This window comes from Homo sapiens, chromosome 4, assembly GCF_000001405.40.
Source record: "Homo sapiens chromosome 4, GRCh38.p14 Primary Assembly".
NCBI classification, from domain to species: domain Eukaryota; kingdom Metazoa; phylum Chordata; class Mammalia; order Primates; family Hominidae; genus Homo; species Homo sapiens.
In genome coordinates this window covers 122,268,051-122,291,625 of record NC_000004.12, presented here as the reverse complement: position 1 = coordinate 122,291,625, position 23,575 = coordinate 122,268,051, and the positions used below count along the sequence as shown (strand labels likewise).

General features: G+C 34.0%; 1 protein-coding gene across 44 annotated transcripts in view; it reads right to left on the bottom strand.

Annotated features, from left to right (window-relative positions):
* Positions 1-23,575, bottom strand: part of BLTP1 (bridge-like lipid transfer protein family member 1) — a 210,422-nt gene that overhangs the window by 71,127 nt on the left and 115,720 nt on the right. For 36 of the 44 annotated variants that reach the window (XR_938783.2, XM_047416253.1, XM_047416259.1 and 33 more), the window contains 8 exons: positions 19,902-20,608; positions 19,221-19,466; positions 17,190-17,283; positions 15,604-15,654; positions 11,645-11,851; positions 9,852-10,090; positions 4,841-5,085; positions 2,434-2,539 (listed from right to left, as the gene is read on the bottom strand). Coding sequence is in view for 43 of the 44 variants with exons in the window: in XM_047416253.1 (XP_047272209.1) it covers positions 2,434-2,539; positions 4,841-5,085; positions 9,852-10,090; positions 11,645-11,851; positions 15,604-15,654; positions 17,190-17,283; positions 19,221-19,466; positions 19,902-20,608 (1,895 nt within the window). In the remaining variant the exon portion in view is untranslated. Of the gene's footprint in view, positions 1-2,433; positions 2,540-4,840; positions 5,086-9,851; positions 10,091-11,644; positions 11,852-12,864; positions 13,270-15,603; positions 15,655-17,189; positions 17,284-19,220; positions 19,467-19,901; positions 20,609-23,575 lie in introns of those variants that run through there. The other 8 variants (XM_047416268.1, XM_011532323.2, XM_047416266.1 and 5 more) reach the window with 2 other exon arrangements.

Genomic DNA, 23,575 nt, shown 5'->3' with positions numbered 1-23,575 from the left:
CCAAGCATTCTTGAAAGTCCTTCGTGGACAAATAAGGTAATCAATTTTTTAAAAAAGTATTTTCCTAACAAACTTGATGATTGTTATGAACATTAGTCTTCCTACATAACAGAAAATGTCCTAACACTAAACGTAACATGATGGAAAATCATGAAGAATATAAGAAAAAATTAGGAAAATAACTGAAGATTATGGGAGAGGGAAGAAGCAATACAGAGATCAGAGTACTGAGAAATTTGAGCTACAAGGGTTCAAAGTATTCCCTCTCAATATTCTGTTATGTTCCTTGGTCTTGACAGAATAACTGAATGCCTATGCGCCATCAGGCCCTGTGGCCAGCTAAATCATATGTGATTTACACTTTAGCTATTTTCTCAAGGTTCATGGCTGTCGCTAAAGTCAGAAAGAAATGGTTCAAGGAGCAGATCTAGCCACTCCTTTGTCACTATCATCTGATTCTCTCACAGTAAACAGCAAGTCTTCATGGTTAGAAATATTAATTTCCAGTCCTCTTTGTCCATCTTATTCTTCATAGACCTTGGGATATACTTTCATCTCCTGACTACAATCTAAAGGTTAAGAAAAGCCTTTCTCTTTAATCAAAACTACCTTAAGAGAGGCTTACCCTGACAGTCTGATACTAGGAACTCCACAACACTTGTTTTTTTTACCATAAGAAATACAAGATTAGTTCATGTAAGAGTCTATTTATTTTTTAATTATATATTATATATAATATATATTATATAGTATGTTATATAATATATATAATATTATGTGTGTGTGTGTGTGTGTGTGTGTGTGTGTGTGTGTATATTTTTTTTTTTTTTTTTTTTTTTGAGACGGAATCTTGCTCTACCACCGAGGCTGGAGCACAGTGGCGCCATCTCAGCTCACTGCAAGCTCCACCTCCCAGGTTCACGCCATTCTCCTGCCTCAGCCTCCCGAGTAGCTGGGACTACAGGCGCCCACCACCACACCAGGCTAATTTTTTGTATTTTTAATAGAGATGGGGTTTCACTGTGTTAGCCAGGATGGTTTTGACCTCCTGACCTAATGATCCACCCGCCTCGGCCTCCCAAAGTGCTGGGATTACAGGCGTGAGCCACCATGCCTGGCTTATATTTTTTCAGTAATAAAACTATCTTGAAAGTATTCTTTAGAACTCATAAGTTTACCAGCTTGATATAGTCTTAACAACTTTCCTATCATAAAAAATGTCATAATGTGATTTTTACCAGGTAAATGGGACACACCAAAACTTCTGTATGTTTCCCAAGTTAAGGCTTCTTCAGTGGCAGAAAGGAATTTTACTATATATTTATTTCTTCCTTAATGATTTCTAGTCAACCATTTTTGGAAAAACTCCATGGCTACCAATGATCTGATCTTTTAAGACCTAACTTGTAAAATTCTACAGCTCTGCAGGGCTTCCTCAATATGATCATTAAGTAGCTTCCTGACCTCAGATACAACCAGAACCAGCCCAGGAGAATCAAGGAAACTGGCTGCTCACACAGCTGCTACATAATGTAGTTCCTTCATCCAAGGAGCACTGTCCTCCTTCAGACCCTTATCAAATACTGGTACATATGCTCTGTCTGCGTCCTCTCTACCTCTCCTTTCTTGCCAAACTAGGCTTCATTCTTAAGTTTTGGGATACGACTTCTTCTGAGAAGCCTTTTCTGATCCTTTAGACTACAGTAGTTTTTCCTATGACACAGACTCATAGCACCCTGTTCTTGTCATTCGCAGAACTCATCAAAATTGTAAGTGAATACCTAGATACTTCATAAATTTGTTAAATGAATGAATTAATCCATGAGCATAAAGGAAACTCCTTTTGATGCCAATTTATGGATGTGGCTTAAAAATTCTTTTAACATGATAACATTCATACAAAAAATACTCAGCATTAAGAACTGTTATACAGTCAACTTTTCACCCTAATTCCCTAATACTTTAGCTTGTGAAAAATGTAGAGCAATGACTAAGCTCAACTGTAAGCTATTCTTGAGGAACAGCAAAAATATAATGAGGGTTTCCACAGACAATTTACCATGCTGCCAGCATATAGCCATCATCTGGTATAGACAAAAGGTTGAAATCTTAGTAGTTACCTAAATGTTGTTCCCAAATGAGTATGATTAATTTGGTTAATAGACATACTGTAAGCTTTTCTTTTTTCAGGGTGAAACATAAAGGAGCTTTCTGAAGTTTATGAATCTTAAATGTGTATATTATACATGACAAAAATGATAAGCAAACACTGTAGGTGGAAAAGCCATAAAAGGAATGCACAGTTTCTTAGGAGTTATTTGACAACTATATCCAAATGCTGGATCAATACTTATACCACAGATATATGGGATATCACACGCTCAATGAGAATAAAAACCTACACCTATACTATAAGGTACTAGATCATCTTACCAGAAACTTTTTGTATTACTTCATTAACTTCCTTCATGAACACTTTCTGTACAAATACCAAGTGGTTTAGAAGATCAGTTGTAAGATTATGTTCAAAGGAACCAACCTGCCAGACAAAATCATATTAGATTAACACTGATTACATTAGCTTTACACTTTTTTCTTACATAAATCACCCTAAACTGAGGAAAAAAGAGATAATTATCTCTATATGATTTGAAATCAATATATTGAAGAAAAGTTAAAAATATTCAGCGTTCCTAATACGTTACTGGCCAGAAACTATTATAGTACACTCCCAAAATGGGTTTTGTTTTTTGTTTTTTAATAACAGTAGTTAATAAGGTATGAGAAGTCTGGGGAGCAAATCGAAGTTATATATTTAACTTGCTAATTTTGAAATTAAATTTTCTCCTAGAGTAAAATTTACTTTTAATGATCATTTTAATGGCCACTTTTGTGGTCTTAGAATCATAGACGAGTTAAGTAAAAATAGATTTATTTATTTATTTATTTATTTATTTATTTATTTATTTATTTAGAGACGGAGTCTTGCTCTGTCACCCAGGCTGGAGTGCAGTGGCGCAATCTTGGCTCACTCTAACCTCTACCTCCTGGGTTCAAGCGATTCTCCTGCCTCAGGCTCCTGAGTAGCTGGGACTACGAGCACCCACCACTATGATAGGGTTTCACCATGTTGGCCAGGCTGGTCTCAAACTCCTGGCCTCAAGCGATCCGCCCACTTTGGCCTCCCAAAGTGCTGGGATTACAGGTGTGAGCCACTATGTCCAGCCAAAAATAGATTTATTTAATCAAATATATATTTAATGACTGTCTACTCTATGTACCATGTTAGGTGCTAAGGATGCAGCTATGAATAAAAACCAACAAAATTCTGGGTCTCAGGCTTACATTTGAGTGAATTAGTAAATCATCAGAGATACCCAGTTAAGGTTTGTGTCCTTAATTTGTGTCCTATAATTTGTGTCCTATGATTAGTACAAGGTATTAAATTTCTGGCAAATTAGTTAATAAACTAATTAGTTAATAAACCAATTTGCCAGAAACTATTTTCAGGTATGTTTATTTCAGGCCATAGTAAAATAGGCAACTCTAAGAGGGATGCAATTTTAGAGTCTTTGAAATGGTTGAAATTAAATACATTTTTTACTAAATTTGGGATTGTGTTCCACCTCGTTACAAACTTATACCTTTCTAATATCTAGTATTAGCAAGGAATTATACAATACACTGTATTCGTGTATTTTCTTTTAAATGGAACATTAATAATAGTATTGCTAAAATAGAGCTTGGGGCTTTTAGTTTTCAGAGTAGAAAGTACAAGTGGGATACACTTTAAAATATTTTCAGTTAAATCTTTGACTTGTTAGAATCTGAACACTATTTTTTCGTACACTTGTTTTTCATACACAGAAATCCCAACTCTTAGAGAGCTTCCAGGGCAAGCAGGACCTAAGAAGGTAAATCAGACTTAAATATGTCCCCCGCAGTTATAATATTTCTATCAGAGAACCCAAAGAGCATTCTTATAGATGCTTCAGGTTATGGAGAACAAAATTTATAAAACAAATAGCACATTGCTTTTTCATAAAGTTGCAACAGTTTTTGACAAACTGACAAGGTAAGCTGAGACACAGCACAGTGTGTCTGAAGGCAGACCACTAAGGCGTGGCTCCTGCCTCTCTCAGTTGATAGCTAGGTCTCGAGACTTAAGGAAAGGTGTTTACTTCTCCGCTTCAAGTTTATATCAAATTAGGAAAATAACAGATGACCTGCTTACCACAAATCAAATGAAAAATGTGTCCAAATGCTTTTTAAACTTTTGACAGCTATACAAAGTGAAAAAATTATGATGGAATTAGATATGCTACTTTCAACTTAACCTTAGTAAAGAAATTAATCTGTAAGTCTAATTTATCTTTCAATATGACCTTTAGATTATCTTAATAATTATGTATACCTGTATGAATTTGTTACCTTGCTAAGGCTTAGTTTGCTCACTTACAAAATGAGAACAAATATTTCTACCTCATAGGATTTACTTAAGCACTGCAGAAGTCAATGCGTGTAAAGCACATAATGAATGTTAGCTGTGATTTGCTTTTAATAATCATTTGAACTATGAAAATATTGCAGAGATGGAATACATAACTAATACATATTTTTAAAAGCATGTGTAAATAAAACTACAGGGTAGTCAGACTAACAGACACAAAAACACACATACACCCACACACACACACTTGATTTGGTATAGAATTCTTCTGTGAAAACAAATTATTTTAAGACTTTACCTTAAAAGTTTGGATTACTACATATTTTGGTACATATAAATCTTGAAGACTCCTAAATTACGAAGAGTAAGAAAATTTTAAAGTAAACTTACTTCTGCCACACAACGCAGATAATTTCCCTGTAAATAGTAACCTTGTTTAGAAGGCAGTTCATCTATACTCCACACCTGATCCGAATAACTATCATGTTCTTCCATTATATATTTCCCTGACATGGTAACAGGGGGAAGGTTAAGACTGGCAGAAGGAGGAATGGTTGACATATCTGTGGCAGAAACTTTTGAAGTAAAACGCAATCTGTGATTTGGCAGCTCAAATGTAAATCTTGTCTGTGCACCTGTAAGAAATGAGAAAAGTTATTGTTTGTGCTAGTGTTCATTCACTCATTCATTCCTCACTTTTTCCAAAAAGGGTATCTAAGAAAAATGCATGGATATTCCCAAACCTATCTTGAAATATATGAAAGGATATTTTAAAGTTGCTTATAAAATATTCCCTATCTTTAAATACGCAAGTCAATCAGCAAGTATTATTAAGCCAGTATTATTAAGCAAGTATTATTTATTAAGACTGGCAGTGTGTTAGGCACTAGAAAAACACTTATGTTCTTTATTTCATAGAAGGTAGAACAGAAATAAAGTGCCCTTATTACAGAAGCATTGTAACAAGAAAATCAAGTTAAAAAAATTTCCCCAGTCCACACAGTGCTTTATTCACAGAGAATAGTAGGTAGTTAACAATATGTCTACTGATCCTGATTCAGTGTGGAAGTAGCTAAAATTGCCAAATCAATTAAATTGTACTCACTGAAACATTCATAAAGTATAAAATTATACAAACATATGTCTCTTTGACCTTCATAATTATTCATGGGACCATATATCAAATAAGGATATGTTATGAATTTTAGTTTACTATTGACCTTAAACACTTAAATCAATAATCTAGCACATAATTATTCAAACAAATATAAATATACCAGCTTTACTATTATTCAGTCCATATTTCTCCAACTGTTTATGAGGGCATAAGGAGAAGCCTTATTAAAATCAAGATCTGTTATTGCCCTTTACACATGTAATGTACATACACATGCTCCTTTCAAACCAGCAAAATCTACTGATATTCTTCTGCACATTACCAATTCTCTCCACTCAAACATCATCAAATTGCCTATTTAGCCTACATATATAATTTATTATATATCCCTACTGCTCTCAACTGAGCCAGAAATAATTCTCTTTTTTTCAAAATACTAATCAAGGGTCATCTCCTATATGTCACATTCACTATATTCATTAACTAATGTTTGCACCTAGAATGAGTTAGCCAAAAACAGAAAAATGCTCACTCACCAACTGGGGCATCTGTGAATGGCCAGATGAGTCATGACTGCCCTGATCTCCTCTCACTACTCCAACCAAGAGACTCCTTGACTATCATTTACAAACTGCAAGGGGTGGGGACTGTCTACCACTGTCGCTGCCACCACTACTATTGCTAGCACACCACCAAATAAAAACTCCAAGATTGAAATAAAAACGCCAAGATTGAAATAATCCTAGGCCTCAGTTACTGAGTCATCCCTTATTACTAGTATAGTCATTCTTTTACTGTTTTTATCCCTTTCCTTCAATTTCAATAAGAATTTTGGGTTCTTATCTCTCTGGATATTTAACAATATGTTTACTCTAAGATCCTAAACTGCCTATCTGGCTTTCGACTTGCTGTTTCTGTGGACCCCTGTATTTCATGGGTGCCCTGAATAAGTGACCAAATGTGTGTAACTTATTGTCAGCCCTGGACTCTAATATCTGAAGGCCTAAGACTTCTGACTCTGCCAAATCTAGAAATTTACTTTAAAATGCTTCTCTTTCTGGTAATAGAAAGTTCTAAATGTTCAGCAAAATTACTCTTAATAAAGAAAGCCTAAAATGGTAGAGATGGGAGTACACATATACAGTAATCTCCCTTTATTTGGGGAAGATGTGTTCTAAGATCCCCAGTGGATGCCTGAAATCATAGATAGTATCAAACCGTATATATGTCTTTGCCTATACATACACTCCTATGATAAAGTTTAATTTATAAATCAGGCACAACAAGAGATTAATAACAACGATAACAAAATAGAACAGTTATACTGTAACAAAAGTTCTGTAAATATCTTTGTAAATATGGTCTCTCTCAAAATACCTTATTGTATGTAATATTTTTGGACTACAGTTGACCATAGGTAACTGAAACGTGAAGAGACAAAACACATGAATAAGCAGGGACTACTGTATACACATACTTACATAAATATGTACATGTCTGCATATATTCATATATATGTATATATTTTTAAATTATGTTAACATAATAAAGGAGACAATACATTTTCATTTCATTAGATACAGAACAAAGTATCTGATTACATTTACCAATAATTCTTCATAGAAACTCTTAAGCACAGTGGGAAAATAAGTACATTTTCTTAACCTGATAGCAGAAACCTAGAGCAGACATCAGACTTATTCATGTAATGTTGATTCCTTTAAGAAAATCAGACAAGGCAAGCACCATAAGGCAAGAAAAAGAAATAAAAGTTGGAAAGAAACAAAAGTATCATTATTTGCTGTTTAAACAGTATGACTGTCTATAGATAAAACTCCTAAGAATCTACAACTTATTGGTAATAATAGTTTAATGTGGTTGCTGAGTATCAGATTAACAAAAAAGCATCAAGCACACTTGTAGACTACCAACAGTTTAGAAAAATGCCATTTTACAAAAGATAACATTTGTAATAGCTACAACACCACAAGATACCTAGATATCTTAATAAATAAATACATCTTGTAAAAGACGCACAAAAACCTTTAAGTAGAAAAATTTTAAACTTTATACAAAAACATTAAAGAAGACCTAAACAACAGAGAAATAAGACTTACTCAAGGATAGGAAGGTTGAATATTGTTTAGTTGTCATTTCTCCCCAAATAAATCTATAGATTCAATTAAGTTCCTACAAAAGTCTAAACAGGCTTTTTCAGGGAACTTAAACTGATTCTAAAATGTTTATGAGGCCAGGCATGGTGGCTGATGCCTGTAATACCAGCACTTTGGGAGACCAAGGCAGGCGGATCGCTTGAGGCCAGGAGTTCAACACCAGCCTAGGCAACACAGTGAAATCCCACCATCTCTACAAAAAATTTTAAAATTAGCCAGATGTGGTGGTGCATGCCTATAGTCCTGGCTACTCACAGGGCTGAGACTGGAGGATCACTTGAGGAGGTCAAGGCTGCAGAGAGCTGTGATCATGCCACTGCCCTCCAGCCTGGGCAACAAAGTGAGACCCTGTCTCAAAAAATAAAAATAAACAACGTATATGAAAGAGCAAAGGATCAAAAACAGCCAGGACAATTCCTGAAAAAGAAAAAGTCAGGCAGCAACATGATACTGGTACAAAGAGATCAATGAAGCAGAATAGAAAACTCAGAACTAGACTCCCACATTAAAAATAACACTTAAGATGTGACAAATTTCTGGATTATATGCCACTGGAAAAAAAGAATAATCAATAAGTGATGCTGAGATCATTGGTTATATACAATGATCACTGGTTATATACAATGATCACTGGTTATATACTATCCCATGCCAAATCTAAGAACAATAATAATTGATTAAGATAGATTAAAAACTTAAATATGAATAGCAAAACTCAAAACATTCAAGAAAAAATGTAACAAAATATTTTTATTATCCTAGGAAGAGAAGCATTTCTTCAGGACATAAAAATACACATCATACAGGAAAAATAATGGTAAATTCAATTACATGAAAATGAAGAATGTCTGCTGATCAAAAGAAAAAGTTAAATGATAAGCCTCCAACTAGGTGACAACATATAAACATGATATCAAAGAGTTAATATACAGAATTTATGAAGAATTATTGCGAATCAAGAAAAATACAAATGACTCAATGGTAAAGTGAGCAAAAAAAAAGAACCATCAACTGGCATTTTATATATATAAACTCGTAAGGAGCTCTTAGTCAAATAAAAAAATTCCTAGTTAAAAAATGTGAGATTCCATATAAACAAAGTTCAAAACAGCTAAAAGCAAACTTTAAATCATTTATGAGTATATACATATATGGTAAAACTATATGGGAAAGCAAAAGAATGGGTAAGACAAAATTCATGATAGCAGTAATTCCATGAAAAGTGAAGACTGCCTTTTTTTTTGAGATGAAGTCTCACTCTGTCGCCAAGGCTGGAGTGCAGTGGCACACTCTCAGCTCACTGCAACCTCCGCCTCCCGGATTCAAGCGATTCTCCTGCCTCAGCTTCCTGAGTAGCTGGGATTACAGGTGCCTGCCATCATGCCCAGCTAATTTTTGTATTTTTAACAGAGATGGGGTTTTGCTATGTTTTCCAGACTGGTCTTGAAGTCCTGACCTCGGGTGATCCACCCGCCTCAGCCTCCCAAAGTACTGGGATTACAGGTGTGAGCCACTGCGCCCGGCCAAAGAAGGCTTCAAAGTATTGGTAATGTGCCAATTCTTAGGCTATATTGTGGGTTGGTGAGTTCACAGTACTTAATTATTCTTTAAAATGTGTATATGTATAATTTACATGCTTTGTATACATGATATATTTCATAAATATTAAAAGCAAGGAATTTTGAGATAGGATATATTAATATAAGGGTCACAAAACCATACAGAATTAGCTGTTTTGAAGAAATCAAATGACCCCTGATTTGAGCTAAATGAACCCAATGTGAAAATAAACCAAGTTATTCAGTCTATTAAAAACTTAATAGATGTAGAAATGGGTTAATTTCTTCAACTTAAGTTTAAATTGGAGAAATGGCCTCCATAGTTGAATAATTTTATGGAGTTCAAAAGAGTTCATTCTGGTCATTCAAGGTTTTGGGGTGGGGGATTGATATTTTTACTTGACTAGAGAACATCATTAATGAACTTTAAATGTTATAATCAAAATTACTTATAATATCTATAAAACCAAATTTACCTTTTTATCAAAATATTACTAATTTCTCAAACAAATCATAAATTTTAAGAGAGTGAATTCAGAATTCAATATTACCTGTCATTCCATGACTTCTCATTCTTCCCATCTTGTATTCTGCTTTCAGAGATGGTAAAAGTGCTGCTCCAATGGCTATACCATCTAACATGGCACTGAATTTAAGAACAATAGGCTTCTTTTCTAAGCCTTCTGGTAGCTGAGGAAATTCATTTGTTTCAACAGGAGTTTGATTAACACTTGTTGGGGTTTTTTCAGAAGGTAGTGGGGTTGCAATATCTTCTTTTACAGGCTGTGGGCTAGAAAGCAAAAAAAAAATAATTAAAAAATAAACACAGGACGTACCATTTTATTGTAGAAAATCACTGGATTTCTCAGTGAAAAATAGCAAATATATACTGTGAATAGATGTTTTCTTTCCAATATCAGATCATATTCAGACTTTCTAAAACACCTGTTGAACAATGATGATATGGAAAAGTAGACAAGAAAAAGTAATAACAATATGAGACTCTTAGAATGTTATACTGTGAAGGTGATTCTTATCATTATTACAAAACTGGGATTTAAACTCAGATTTGTCTGATTCCAAATTCTATCACTTAACTATTACACGCTACTACTGATATTATTGACATTACTACTACTACTACTGTTAAGAATGACAACACCAACCCCAACAATAACAATAATAACAATTTGAGTGGCAGGTACTGTTCTTAGTGCATTGTGTGCTTTGTCTCATTTATCTCACTTTAATAAGTAGGTACTATTGTCTCCACGTTGCAAAATGAGGAAGCATAGCTAGAGTGCTGAAACTAGGATTTGAACCCAATCAGTCTGACTCCAGGGTCTGATTTTTCAACTACTACACTCTACTGATACTATAGTAAGGAAAAGCTCCTTGGAGCATTTTAAAACTAAAATTTAAGTATACACTCTGGATTCCATATTTCTATTCAGAGGAAAAACATTTAAATTTTTACTACTTAGCTTCAGCCATGATTAAACATTATATCAGAATTAAAGATTTAGATAAAACAATTGGAAAAATCAGCTTTGAGGCACCTTCAAAAGACACACTAATGTTTTCCCACTTATAGGATGTGGGAAATAAAACGTAAGACAAATTTTTAACCTTTTACATGGTTGTTTTTTTTTTTTTTTTTTTTAGATGGAATTTCGCTGTTGTTGCCCAGGCTGGAGTGCAATGGTGCAGTCTTGGCTCACTGCAACCTCTGCCTCCCGGGTTCAAGCGATTCTCCTGCCTCAGCCTCCCAAGTAGTTGGGATTACAGATGCCTGCCACCACGTATTTTTATTAGTTACAGTTTTTGGAGACCAGGAATAAGGCTCAGCAGTGAAGATGTATGAACAAAGGCTACAGACATAGGGAATAAAGGTTAATGCTCAAATTTACTGCCCTTTAAAACATTTATGTGGCATGGTCAAATGCTGCCTTGGGACATAAATGACCACTGCTATACTTTCTTAAATCTGTGCAGTCATAAGTTTCCAATGAATTCAAAGTAAACAAGGATTGACATGGTCCTGGAATTCACCAATTTGCTTTTTATTAGTACCTCTTACAATACCCACAAATCTCTAGGATCTCTTAAGCTTTGTTTATGCAATATGGAACACTGACAATTGCACTGACGACACTGTACTTTAATGCTTTCAAAAGTCATTCTCACATGATCACAATTGGCTACTCTCCTCTTGCTCCACTGTCCATAATGGTCGATACTTAGAAGTAACCCTTCATCTCCCTCCAAACTTTTGTTAATGCAGCAAAGAATACCCTGAGGTAGTATATGGAATCACAGAATGTGAACAAATAAAATAACTTACGCTGTAGAAGGCTGTCTGATTAGGTCTGAGATTTGTTTAGATAGTTGGTGAGAACTTCGAACCATCATGCTATGTAAGGTGGCAGGGTGCTGAGGAATGTTGATACTGATAGCTCCTACTTTGAACACAGCAGCATTGTTTGTCTTCAGCCCTCTTTGGGCACTGTAGAGGGCTTGGGACTTGGCAATACTACATTTCACTACAGTTCTATCAATAGAGAAAGAAGACTATTAAAATACAGCCAACAGCCAAGTAAAGAGAAATTTTGAAAAAATATTGAGAGCAAGAAAAATACTTATAAATTTGAGAGGTCTTCAAAAAGTTCATGGAAAATGTGTATTACAAAAAAAGTGTAGATTTCAGAATTATTTTGCACCAAAATAAACTCATATTCACTTGTTGAAACATGTGAACATGATCTTCTTTAAAGTACCAAGAAGGATAAGATATCAGTTTGACAGAGCCCCCATCAAAACAACATGAATTCTGCTAAAATTGAAGCAAGAACAAGCATCAAGTTTATGGTGAAGTTTGGGCGAATTATAGCAAAATCATTGATGCTTTATAAAAAGCCTTTGGGGATAGTATCCCAAAGCAATCAGCAGTTTACAAATGGATAACTCAAGAAGGGACAAGACAATGTTGATGAAGCCCACAGTGGCAAACCAAGTATCAATTTGCAAGGAAAAATTTTATCTTCTTTGTGTCTAACTGAAGAGGACCAACAATTAACAGCACAAACAACAGCCAACACCATAGACAACTTCAATTGATTCAGCTTACACAATTCTGACTAAAAAATCAAAGTTGAGCAAACTTTTCCACTCGATGGGTGCCAAAACCATTGCTCCCAGATCAACTCCAAACAAAGGCAGAGCTTTCAATGGAAATTTTAAACAAGTGAGATCAAGATCCTGAAGCATTTCTTCAAAGAATTGTAATGGGAGATTAAACATAGCTTTACCAGTACAATACTAAAACTAAAGTACAATCAAAGCAATGGCTACAAAGAAGTGGAAGTGGTCCAGTCAAATCAAAAGCAGATCAGTCATGGCTGGGCATGGTGGCTCCCACCTGTAATCCCAACACTTTGAAAGTGAGGTGAGCAGATCACTTGAGCTCGGGAGTTTGAAATCAGCCTGGGCAACAAGGAAAAAACCCATCTCTAGAAAAAATATAAAAATTAGCTGGGTATAGTGGCACATACCTGCAGTCCCTGCTACTTGGAAGGATGAGGTGGGAGGATTGCGTGAACCCAGGAGACGGAGATTGCAGTGAGCTGAGATTGCACCACTGCACTCCCGCATGGGGAGCAGATAAAAGTGGACCAGTCAAAAGCAAAGGTCATGGCAACAGTTTTTTGGGATGCTCAAGGCATTTTGCTTGTTGACTTTCTTGAGGGCCAAAGAATGATAACATCTGCTTATTAAGAGAGTGATTTCAGAAAGGTAGCCCTAGCTTTACTAGAAAAATGCTCGGGAAAGCTTTACCAGTCCTCCACCACAACAATGCTCTCGCTCATTCCTCTTGTCAAACAAGAGCAATTCTGTTAAGAGTTTTGATGGGAAATCAGTAGGCATCCATTTCACAGTCTTAATTTGGCTCCTTCTGACTTTTTTTGTTTCCTAATTAAAAAGAAAAAAAATTAAAGGGTGCGCATTTCTCTTCAGTTAATAATGTGAAAAAGACTGCATTGTCATGGGACCCCTCTGTTCATTAGCGAAGGAATAAATGGCTGGTATCACTGATTAGAAAAGTGTCTTGAACTTGATGGACCTTATGTTGGGAAATAAAGTTTATTTTTTTTATATCTTTAATTCCATTTTCCACAGTTTGTGAAGCCCCCTCGTAACTGAATGAACTGAAACGACTTAAAAATTTTTATGTGTTTATACAATGAAGAAACAATGTTATCTAAAAATATTAATATATTTATTTTATGCTATTTGCACTGAATAGTGTTTAATTTCTTTAATAGGAAGAATCTATAGAAGAAAATAAGTATATTCTCACATGTAAGTAAAAACATGAACAAGATATTTTATATTACATACACAGACACACAACATTCCACTTTTTATTTTACCCCCATTCAGAACTCTTTTCTTCTCCACCTTATTTTAGAGATCTGTACAACCACTATACAGACATTAAATATGAAAAGAAAAAATATTCACTATACTTCTTAAAATCTAATTAGGGAGTCAAAGAAATTAGAATAACAATCATCCACTATGTTACAAGAAATTGATAGGAAGGAGGAAGTGTAACTTGCATTTTCTGCTTTTCATTTTCAGTGAGTGGTAAACAAATGATAAAAGTCTGATTCATAATGAGCAAGGCTATTACTTTTATTAAGAATTGGTATCCTTTAATTACTAGTACAGATATAAAGCAAAGATACGATCTTTCTTGATTTCTTTTGCTCTTTCCAATGCCTAGAACAGTTCCTGGGAGATTAAAATAGACACTTGCCAAATATTTGTGAAATGAAAGAGCAGAAAGAAGTAAAGCAAAAGAATGACTTCTACCACTACAACTGTGGAATTCCACAGATAGGATATGATAGGACATTTATGTAGAAGCCATAATGAAGTAGTGTTTGACACATACACACACCCTCACATACATTATTTGTTTTTTAAGATGGGGTCTCGTTGTTGCCCAGGCTGGAGTGCAGTGACACCATCATAGCTCACTATAGCCTGGACCTCTTGGGCTCAAGTGATCCTCCCAACTCAGTCTCTCAAGTGGCTGGGACTACAGAGACGTGCCACCATGCCCAGCTAACTTGTTTTTAAATTTTTTGTAGAGACAGGGTCTCATTATATTTCTCAGGCTGGTCTCAAACTCCTGGCCTCAAGCAATCCTCCCACCTTGGCTCCAATAACTTCTAATATAAATGTGATCCTTCAAATGGGCAAATGATTCTTGACAATCACTAAATTTGGCAAAATACACAAAATACATATTTCATATTAATTACAGGCCAGTTTACATAATCTCTGCTGGGCTGCAGAAAATTTGCCAATTATTTATAGTCTCAAAGATATGAAGAACCAGTTCATCACATTTAACTTTTATTAGGATAAACGCAAAGCCCAACAGTAGCTCTATCAGAGGTCTTGATTGTTTATAAACAGTAAAATCTAGGTATTACATAAAATTCAAAACCAATTACTAGAGAAATACACTTTTTTCTTCCACAAGACACTATTTCTCAGAGATGATCACCAGAGGGTGGAGGCAGTAGTTTACGGAATTGGCCTAGTCAGCATGAAGGTAGGCTCTGAAATGCTGCTACTTACTGAATTTTGAATCATTTCTAACATTATAATAATTAAAACCATTGTTTAACACCAACATTTCAAGTTCAGTTTCAACATAAGCCAGAACACACCCAGATGGTGCTGACATGCAAATGGCTCTCTAGATGTGAACAGCATTCATCTATTGAATGAAACTAAACACATATTTACATATAGTAAAGGCCATGAAAATCTATTAACAGAGTAGTCAACTCTCCCCATCTTAAATACAGAATTATAAGGCTGAGATGTACAGATGTTTTGTTAGTGTTTTAATAATTATTTCTACAATTAGTGAAAACTCTTTCTTGCAAAGTGAATTTTTTAAGCTTCCATTATCATATCAAAAATTAAGTACTTTGATCATAGAAATTTTAATAGTAACATGTCTGAAAAGGCACAAGCAACACACAACTACAGTGTTACAACTTGTCAACAACAACAGACAAGGTATGAATTACCAAAAAAGCAGCCCTTACCTGTGTTTTCCTTGATTACCAGTAAGCTTTAATCTATTATATAAAAGGGCCTATATTACAGCTACAAAACAATAACTAAATAATTCACAGCCATGAAAAAAATTTAAATATTTTAAAAACTATTCAATACTACAGTAATTACAAAGCCATGAAAAAGAATAATATGACATACAGAAACTCTTGTTTGGCTGTACTTGTAGGAGATGTAGGAAAATCCTCCAGTCTACAGATGAAGAGTCAAGAGAAAGTGGGAAAACAAAAAGGAGGCAAATAAACATTCATGCACAAATTAGTTACAATATGACCAATCATCTGGAAAGCTTTTCTAATTTCCCACTCTTAAAATGTTCCTTTAAAGTACCATTTGAACCATTTTTTTCCATTCCATTTCCTCTTCATTGCAATTGAAAATGAAATACCAAAGAATACACTACGAGTTTGGCAGTAACTAATAAATAATTTTTATTTTTCAAATAAAACAGTTAAGGGATCTTTACTTGGGGGAAAAAAGAGCAAGAAATATCAGCTATATAATACTTTACCAAAAATCTGTTCTATAAACATTATGTTTTGCAAGGTTAAAGACTATTGGAAGCCCTTCTCTTAAGAGATAACAAATAATGAAGAGAAGTGATCCAGGAGGATAGAGTAAATAAAACTCATGGGACACCTAAAGAAATTTAGTTTACTTTCTGAAGGTAACGTACCCATGGTACTTCAAATTTAGAGTAAATGAAGGATTCGTGGAATCCATGGTCTATGACTTTCAGTAGAAGCATTATAAGGTCGAAAGAGTATAGATTCAGGCATCTCTTCTTACTGACTATATTAAGTATTTTAGGCACTATGTTGATCTTTCTGAACCTCAATTTATTGTTCTGTAAAGGTAGATAAGACCACTCCAGTTCCCAAAATTGCAGTGAAGATTAAATATAATAATCTAGGTGAGGCTTCTGGCCCACAGTAGGCACTTAATAATATTATAATTAATACATAATAATAACCCCTTCTCCTATATTGAATGAACAAAAAAAGATCTCATCTCTCACAACCACCGGAATTTCCTGCCTTTCTTGAAAAGACTTCTTAGGAAATGTGATCTGAATAGTAGGCAGCTATTATGAAATATACAGTCTTTAGTTCTACACTTATAGGTCCAAACCGAACCTCAGACAGTCTCCAGGAAGTCTTGAGAATGGGCCCTGTCTGAGTTGCTGATTTTAGCCAAAACTCATTGCAGAAAGCTATGGCCCATTAATAAACATCCATTTCAGGAAATATTCCCCAAGGTAGCTATCACATTATTCAGATTTTTAAAATATTATTAGAGCTGTAACATATCATACTTCTTAGTCAATCTAGGACTAATACTTAATTTTTATAACGCTGAACCAAATCCTCTATTTAGTCATGTTGGATGTGTTACAGGATAACAGTAGCACAACATTAACTAGTCATAATATTAAGAAAGAGCAAATTCTGAAAATCTGACCTAAATTATCAAAGGCTGTTTTGTAGTTAACATGAAACTGCTCTGCTGAATGGAAGTTAGGAATGAAGGTATATACCACCAATTTTAGAAAGACAAAAAGTATTTTTCTAAAATATTTTATTTGGTGATATTCTTAACGACAGGATTCTCAGTATCTGGGAACTGATATTGTATATACAAACCTCAAAATTCAGCATGTTTATCCAAAGAATTTCCATTTTTGTCTAAAACTATAAGTGTAAGAAAATAAAAACTGACATACTTACTGTATATTTGGTGTAATCCCTTCAAGCAGCACAATATTAACCCCACCAATATGAGCAGTAGCACAAGTCTCAGTCATCTTTTGATGTAAAACATCTTAAATATGAGAAAAAATATTTATTTGAATTCTGGATATAAGATACTTGCATTTCATATTAAAATTACATTTTATTCATAATATATTCAGTAGCAAAAGATAATTTTAAAGTTATGGTAAATTTTGTTCAACTATTTCAGAGCTACTTTTTAAAAAATTTCCTTAGTTTTTCATTTCTCTGCATTTAATACATACATACATATTAAATGTCAAAATTGCAATAATGCAAAATATACACTTCAATATGCCATTCCTGCATTAGTCTACTGGCATTACATAGCCTAATGGCATTTTACATCTCAGAAATAATACTTACTGCAGAAAAGTTGGAAAATTTTAAAAAATAAGAAAAAGAAACCACATAAACCAGCACTCTTGGTCCATATAATTCCTGTGATTTTAATGGAGGGTATAAATATTTTAATTACTTAAAAAAATGAAATCACATAAACAATTTTGCCTACTTTTTTCATTTAGCATTATTGTTCATATTAATAAATTCTGCAGTATAATTTTAATGGGTAAATTGTAAACTGGCATATGTTTGTTTATAAAAATAACCAGTTCTTTAATGCCAGACACTTGGCGGCTTCTTTGTACAGATATCTTTTCACACAATTCTGATCATTTCTTATACCTAGGTTTGCAGACCTCGAATTGCTGAGTCAAAAGATAAATGTGCTCTAAAGACTACTGATAAAAGCTATTAAATTAACCTTCAGGCAGGTTAAACCAATTTATATCAATTTAAAAGTGAATGAAAATGTCCATTTCTCTAATTCTCACCATAAATGAGTATGGTCATTCTTAACTTTGGCTAAACAGATGAAAAAACTGACAATTTTTTTTTTTTAAATATCAACTTAGACATCTGAGCATTTGTGTATTGTTTATATCCTTTGTGATATTTCCAGGGAAGGCTGATGTATTTGTATTTTTCTTAGCAATTTGCAGTCAGTCCACCTAATTTTTTCAGAGAACCGTGTGTGTGGTTCACCATGTCAATCCCAAGTACATAATCCTCAAATTTAAAATTAGTTTTTTGAGTAAATAATAAATGTTTAGGGTACAAAACAGGTAAAGAAGGGTATATAACAAAAAGTAGGTTCAAAGTAAGTTTTGATTAGACCTTACAAATTTCTGAATCATAAAGTTAACAATAAAAACACATGGTGATTGATAACTTCCTTTTCTCATGTAATATAATCTGTCAGGTTATTTTCACAACCAGAAAAAAAACCACACTGGTTTTATATAATCATTGCTGCAAGAGAATCCCTGCAACTTTATTGCTGTATCCACTGAGTCTAAGAAACATTTGCTTTTTTATTTTAGCATCTCTGAAAGTGGGATGCAGTTTACAATCAATGGCATCTGACCATATCTGGCAATGGTATTTTCTTTGTGATACATAAAATAATAGGGCATCTTCAAATTGATGGGCTCCTGGATTTGACAAAATATCATACCTTGTGTAATCATTCTCAAGATAAATGGTATGTTTTCACTAACCTAGGAAATTTTATATCAACTAAAGGGACTTCTTTTTATAGAGATACTTAGTATTAGATTATAAGATTTCTATGGTAGTTAACAAAAGCAAATTTTTCATAAATTTCATTATTTTGGTAAAATGTTCAGCCTTTAGAGACATCTTAGTAGTTGATATTAAAAGACAAAGAATAAATGTCACCGAGTATAGGTACATCGACTCAATATTTATGTGCTAAAATATTTAGACATCAAAGCTGCCTCAATTCACTGATACTCAATTACAACAAAGTTCTTGGTACCTCAGAATTTGGGAAGTCCAGTTTTTCTGGGAAAAAAAAAATTTGCCAATTAGGAATTTTGGAGACATGGCAGTGGTTTTCTTCAGAGAAGTAGCACTAATTATTATGTATACATAGCACTTTATTAGAAAAATCATTCATACCTTTCATTTTTTCCTTAAGAGTAAAACTGCCATGGATCCTCTTCAGTTCTGATTCCATTGTTAGTCCACCAATATCTGCCTCTAGGTGTGTGCGGTTCACCATGCCAATCCCAAACACTATTAGAGTAACATGCTGAGGTTCAGAAGTTACCAAGCTACGTTTCCTCTGAGTCTTAGTCAAACTGCTGTTGTCTTGTTCATTCTCAAACACAACTTTACATGTTGGCTCTGTAGGGCTCCGAACTCCTTTATAAGTAAATGAAAATATACAATTTTAGATACGAAGACTGAAAAATGGAAGGACATTCCAAACATTGTCTTACCTTTCTTTCCTTCACATTCCCAACCAGTCCTCTTTCTCCTAATCCCCAACAAAATGATTAAAAATTTCTTCAACATTTTTCCAAGTTCCTACTGAAAGTGAATAGTAGAGCCAGATATTTTAAATCAGGTCTGTCTAAATCCTTTAAGAACATACCACGTAAGAGTTTAAAAGGTTGGGAAATGTGGTGGCAGGATATCTGAATTCCATTACTGTTTTATTTCCCTGGTGATAGACAATTTCTCTCCATTTCAATTATCCACTTACGACATTAAGAAAACATGATGAACAGTCTTCTGCTTCTTTGGTATTATTGTTATTGTAAATGGAAATTTTTAAAACATAAAAATGTCTGTTACCTGCTGGTCCAAATGTTTCTGAAGACTTTTCCAATATTCCTGTTGGATCGGAGATAAGTGAATAGAAGTTAAGCAATTTATACATATTCTGCCAGCACTCAGCTGAAGGCTCACTTTGTTCTGACACTGTAATTGAATCAGAGTCATCCATATGAATAGTCATGTGATCCACCACATCTTTTGAACCTTTCCTAGACACTTTTGATGTTCTTCTTTCAGATCTTCCTAATGAATTCTTGTTTCGAGATTCCTTTTTGTTATTCTCATTGTTGGTCCGTTTGTTCTTTGCATTATTTACTCTATTGCCACCATTAAGACTTCCTCTAGAACTGCGGCTAAAGTCAGATGAACGAAAGTCCCGATGTTTTCTGGTTTTGAAGGTAGGTGTTGGGGAAGCAGATCCGGCTGTATATCTGCTAAGTTTAATATCAGTCTGAGTTGCTTTGATGTCATCTATCATTGTGCTAAACTGATGAATAAGACGAACCAAAGCCATATCTACATGCTGGCTTATTGACTGACAGGAAATAGTAAAGTTGCAGTGAAAGGTGTTATAATACCGCTTGCTGAGATCATGAAAAGAAAGGGCACTGGTAGAGTTCTGAGGGGTGCACACGGACTTTTCCATTACAACAGCACTGATGCTAAAGGTTCCCAACATTAATGCTGGTTTGAACTCAAGTGGAGGAAGATTCACATGGCCTTGCCTAAAAACGTGAAATAAAAAAAGGACACGGTTTTTCTTCCATTTTTCCAGAAACATACATCTTTATTAATTTATAGGCAAAATCATCTCCAAGGTAAAATATGAGTCTTAAATAATTTTAAGCAAGCAAACCAGTAAAATATGCTTTTTCACTAGGCCAGGCTTTTTATGAGTTCAAAGGTGGGCCTTTAAGTCTTCTTACTTAATCTTATTCTAAAACTAGTAAGTCAAAATCAGTCTTCTTATGTTAAGAAATGATTTCACTGAAGTGATAACACAACTTTTACTGTCATTTGATGGTATTGCCGTAGAGTATTGGAATTTAGAGTTAAGTATAGATCAATTAGGATACCTCACTTAACCATCCCCCCCTCCTACAATCTGTATCTAATATATTCATATTTAACATAATTTTATTTGATATTAGATAGGAAGCCCTCATGCTAAGTTGAAAGCAGACAGGAAAAGCAATTGAAACAAAAATTAGAAATACACACAAAACCTTAAAATCTGATAAAAAAATTATTTTGGCAAATCCTCCTGCTTATCTAAAGATTTTCATGTAAGACTATTATAGTAAATTTTAATATAGAAAGTCAAAAATATCTCAAATTTCTATAAACCAGCTACCAATAATAACAATAAGCCCCAAGCACCAAAACTGTAAAAAGGTATTTTTCCCTCTTCTTCCATGCACACTATGAATGTGCAGACATGGGAGTTTTTTCTGTAACAAAAAGAAAAAAATCAGAAGCTGCTTTGATATTTTGCATTTAACTTAAAGAATTTATAACTACAGAGCAATAATTCCTTAATGAATACTAGTATTTCTTAATTAATAAGAAAAATGCCCCATTGTAGTGTAATTTATGTAAATGCATAAACTCACAGGAAGTGTACAATCAATGCCAACTAAGCATATGGTCAGAGATGGAAAAACTTGATTTTGAGAATTAGAACAGACAGGAGAAGACTAAAAAGAGATGAAAATAATCCACAATTGCAAAAACAAGAATCTAAAACATGTAAGGGTAGTAAGAAAATCTTAAAGAGGGGAGATTCAAATAAAGGAGAAAAAGAAAATGGTATACCATAACAATTTGCCTGACAAGTAAAAGCCTGACATGGGCACTGCAGAGCCAAAGTTACAATTAAAATTTTAAAATATAAGTCCCTGATACGTGCAGCTACTTTTACTAGAGACAGCAAAGAGACAAAGAAACTATCATGTATGAGGACTTACTACATGCCAGACTCAATGCTAAATGTTTAGTAACTGCCCTGGCTTTACAAAGTAGTAGGAGAGTTATACATATTCATACAAGAAACTGTAACCCCAAACTAATATACAACAATCAGCAGAATGAACAATCTGCTACAAAAACAAACAAAAAACCCAGACAATACTGAAATTAATGGCTGGGAAAAGTATATTGCGGTGAAGGTCTCCAAATAAATAAGAGCTTAAGATGGAATTACAGGAGATCTGAGAAATAAAAGCTGATCATGAGTTAGTTGTAAGAATGTGGAGCATCGGAGCTGGCGCGTTAGTAGAAAAATTAAAAGGAATGTCAAGTTCAGCTAGACCAAACGCAATGAAGTTCACAGAATCACTCAAAGAAGCTCTCACTCAAAACAGACTTACTTGTGTGCTCAAATGAAGGTCTAGTCTGTTGTAGTATTATATGGTTTTTACTAGGCCAATAAATAGGCTACAGCTATAATTTTATTTATATAATCTATATCTCTATATACAGCCTATTACATATAAATTATATATAATTGAATTATATATAACCTAGTTATATATATGAAAACATAGACTGTATGTATACATATAAACATATTTATATATAAATGGATATATTTGTATGAAAGCTGTCTCTTGCAAATTTAAATATAAATTTAGCTCAGATATTTTAACCCTAGAGAGTATGTGTAGGTATTAATGTTTTGGGTCTGGATTTGATGGTTCCAATATTTTAAAATTTCAGTTACTGTGGTTTACTTAAATAACAAGTCTCCCAATAAGGCGATACAAATTTGTAACAAAGACTTACTGTGAAAACTGCATAAAGCACAAACTTACTGCTAGCTCTTCAGCCCACAAGTCAGTACAAAACAACAGATGAGCACTGTGATCATTGACTAGTCACATCACTTCAAAATGTGTCAGTGATAGTGATTAGTTGAAGCATACCTATTGTTCACTTCATGCACAGAAAGCACAATATGTAGTTACTTGTGTTGCCTCCTTGTTTCTCTCTCTGTAATAAATCCCCATAACATTTTACAAAAATGAATAATCAAATGAGGGAATTGGACAACAAAGATGAAAATGCAGCAAAGAAACTAAAAATGAAGATATTGGTAGGGAAGATCAATTGAACGGTGTTATAGAAGAAACAGCTGACCATGGAAATGTTGATACTTCCACTGTTTGAGACACTCTTAATATCTAGCCAGAAAAACTCAGTGGAGGCAAAATTATTGACATAAAGAGGAAAGTGGCCACGACAGAAAGGATGAAGATATCCCAGAGGAAGTGATGCTGACAAAAAACTTCATAGTAAAGGGAATCAAAGATTATTTCATGACATTGAAAGTGCAAAGGATAAAATGCTGAAAACTGATCCATACATACAAAGGAGTTCGACATTTTACCAAGGCACACAAAAGCTCCTTGTTCTGTATTATATGTTATATCATAAGGACAGGACCATTCAAACTACTCTTTGATAAGTTTTTAAAAAGAAATAAAATAGTCTAATTCTCAGTGTTTCTAACATTTTAAATTCCAATGTACTAAATATTAGTTTTACTTTTTTTTATTTCCCTATACATTTATAATAAATAGTAAGAACATTTTTAATGTTTTTACAAATACTGTCAATGTCACAAAAGTAATTTTTTTCACCGATTATTAAAATTGCCTTGTAGTTTCAGCTTGTACGGTCATTGTTATGGT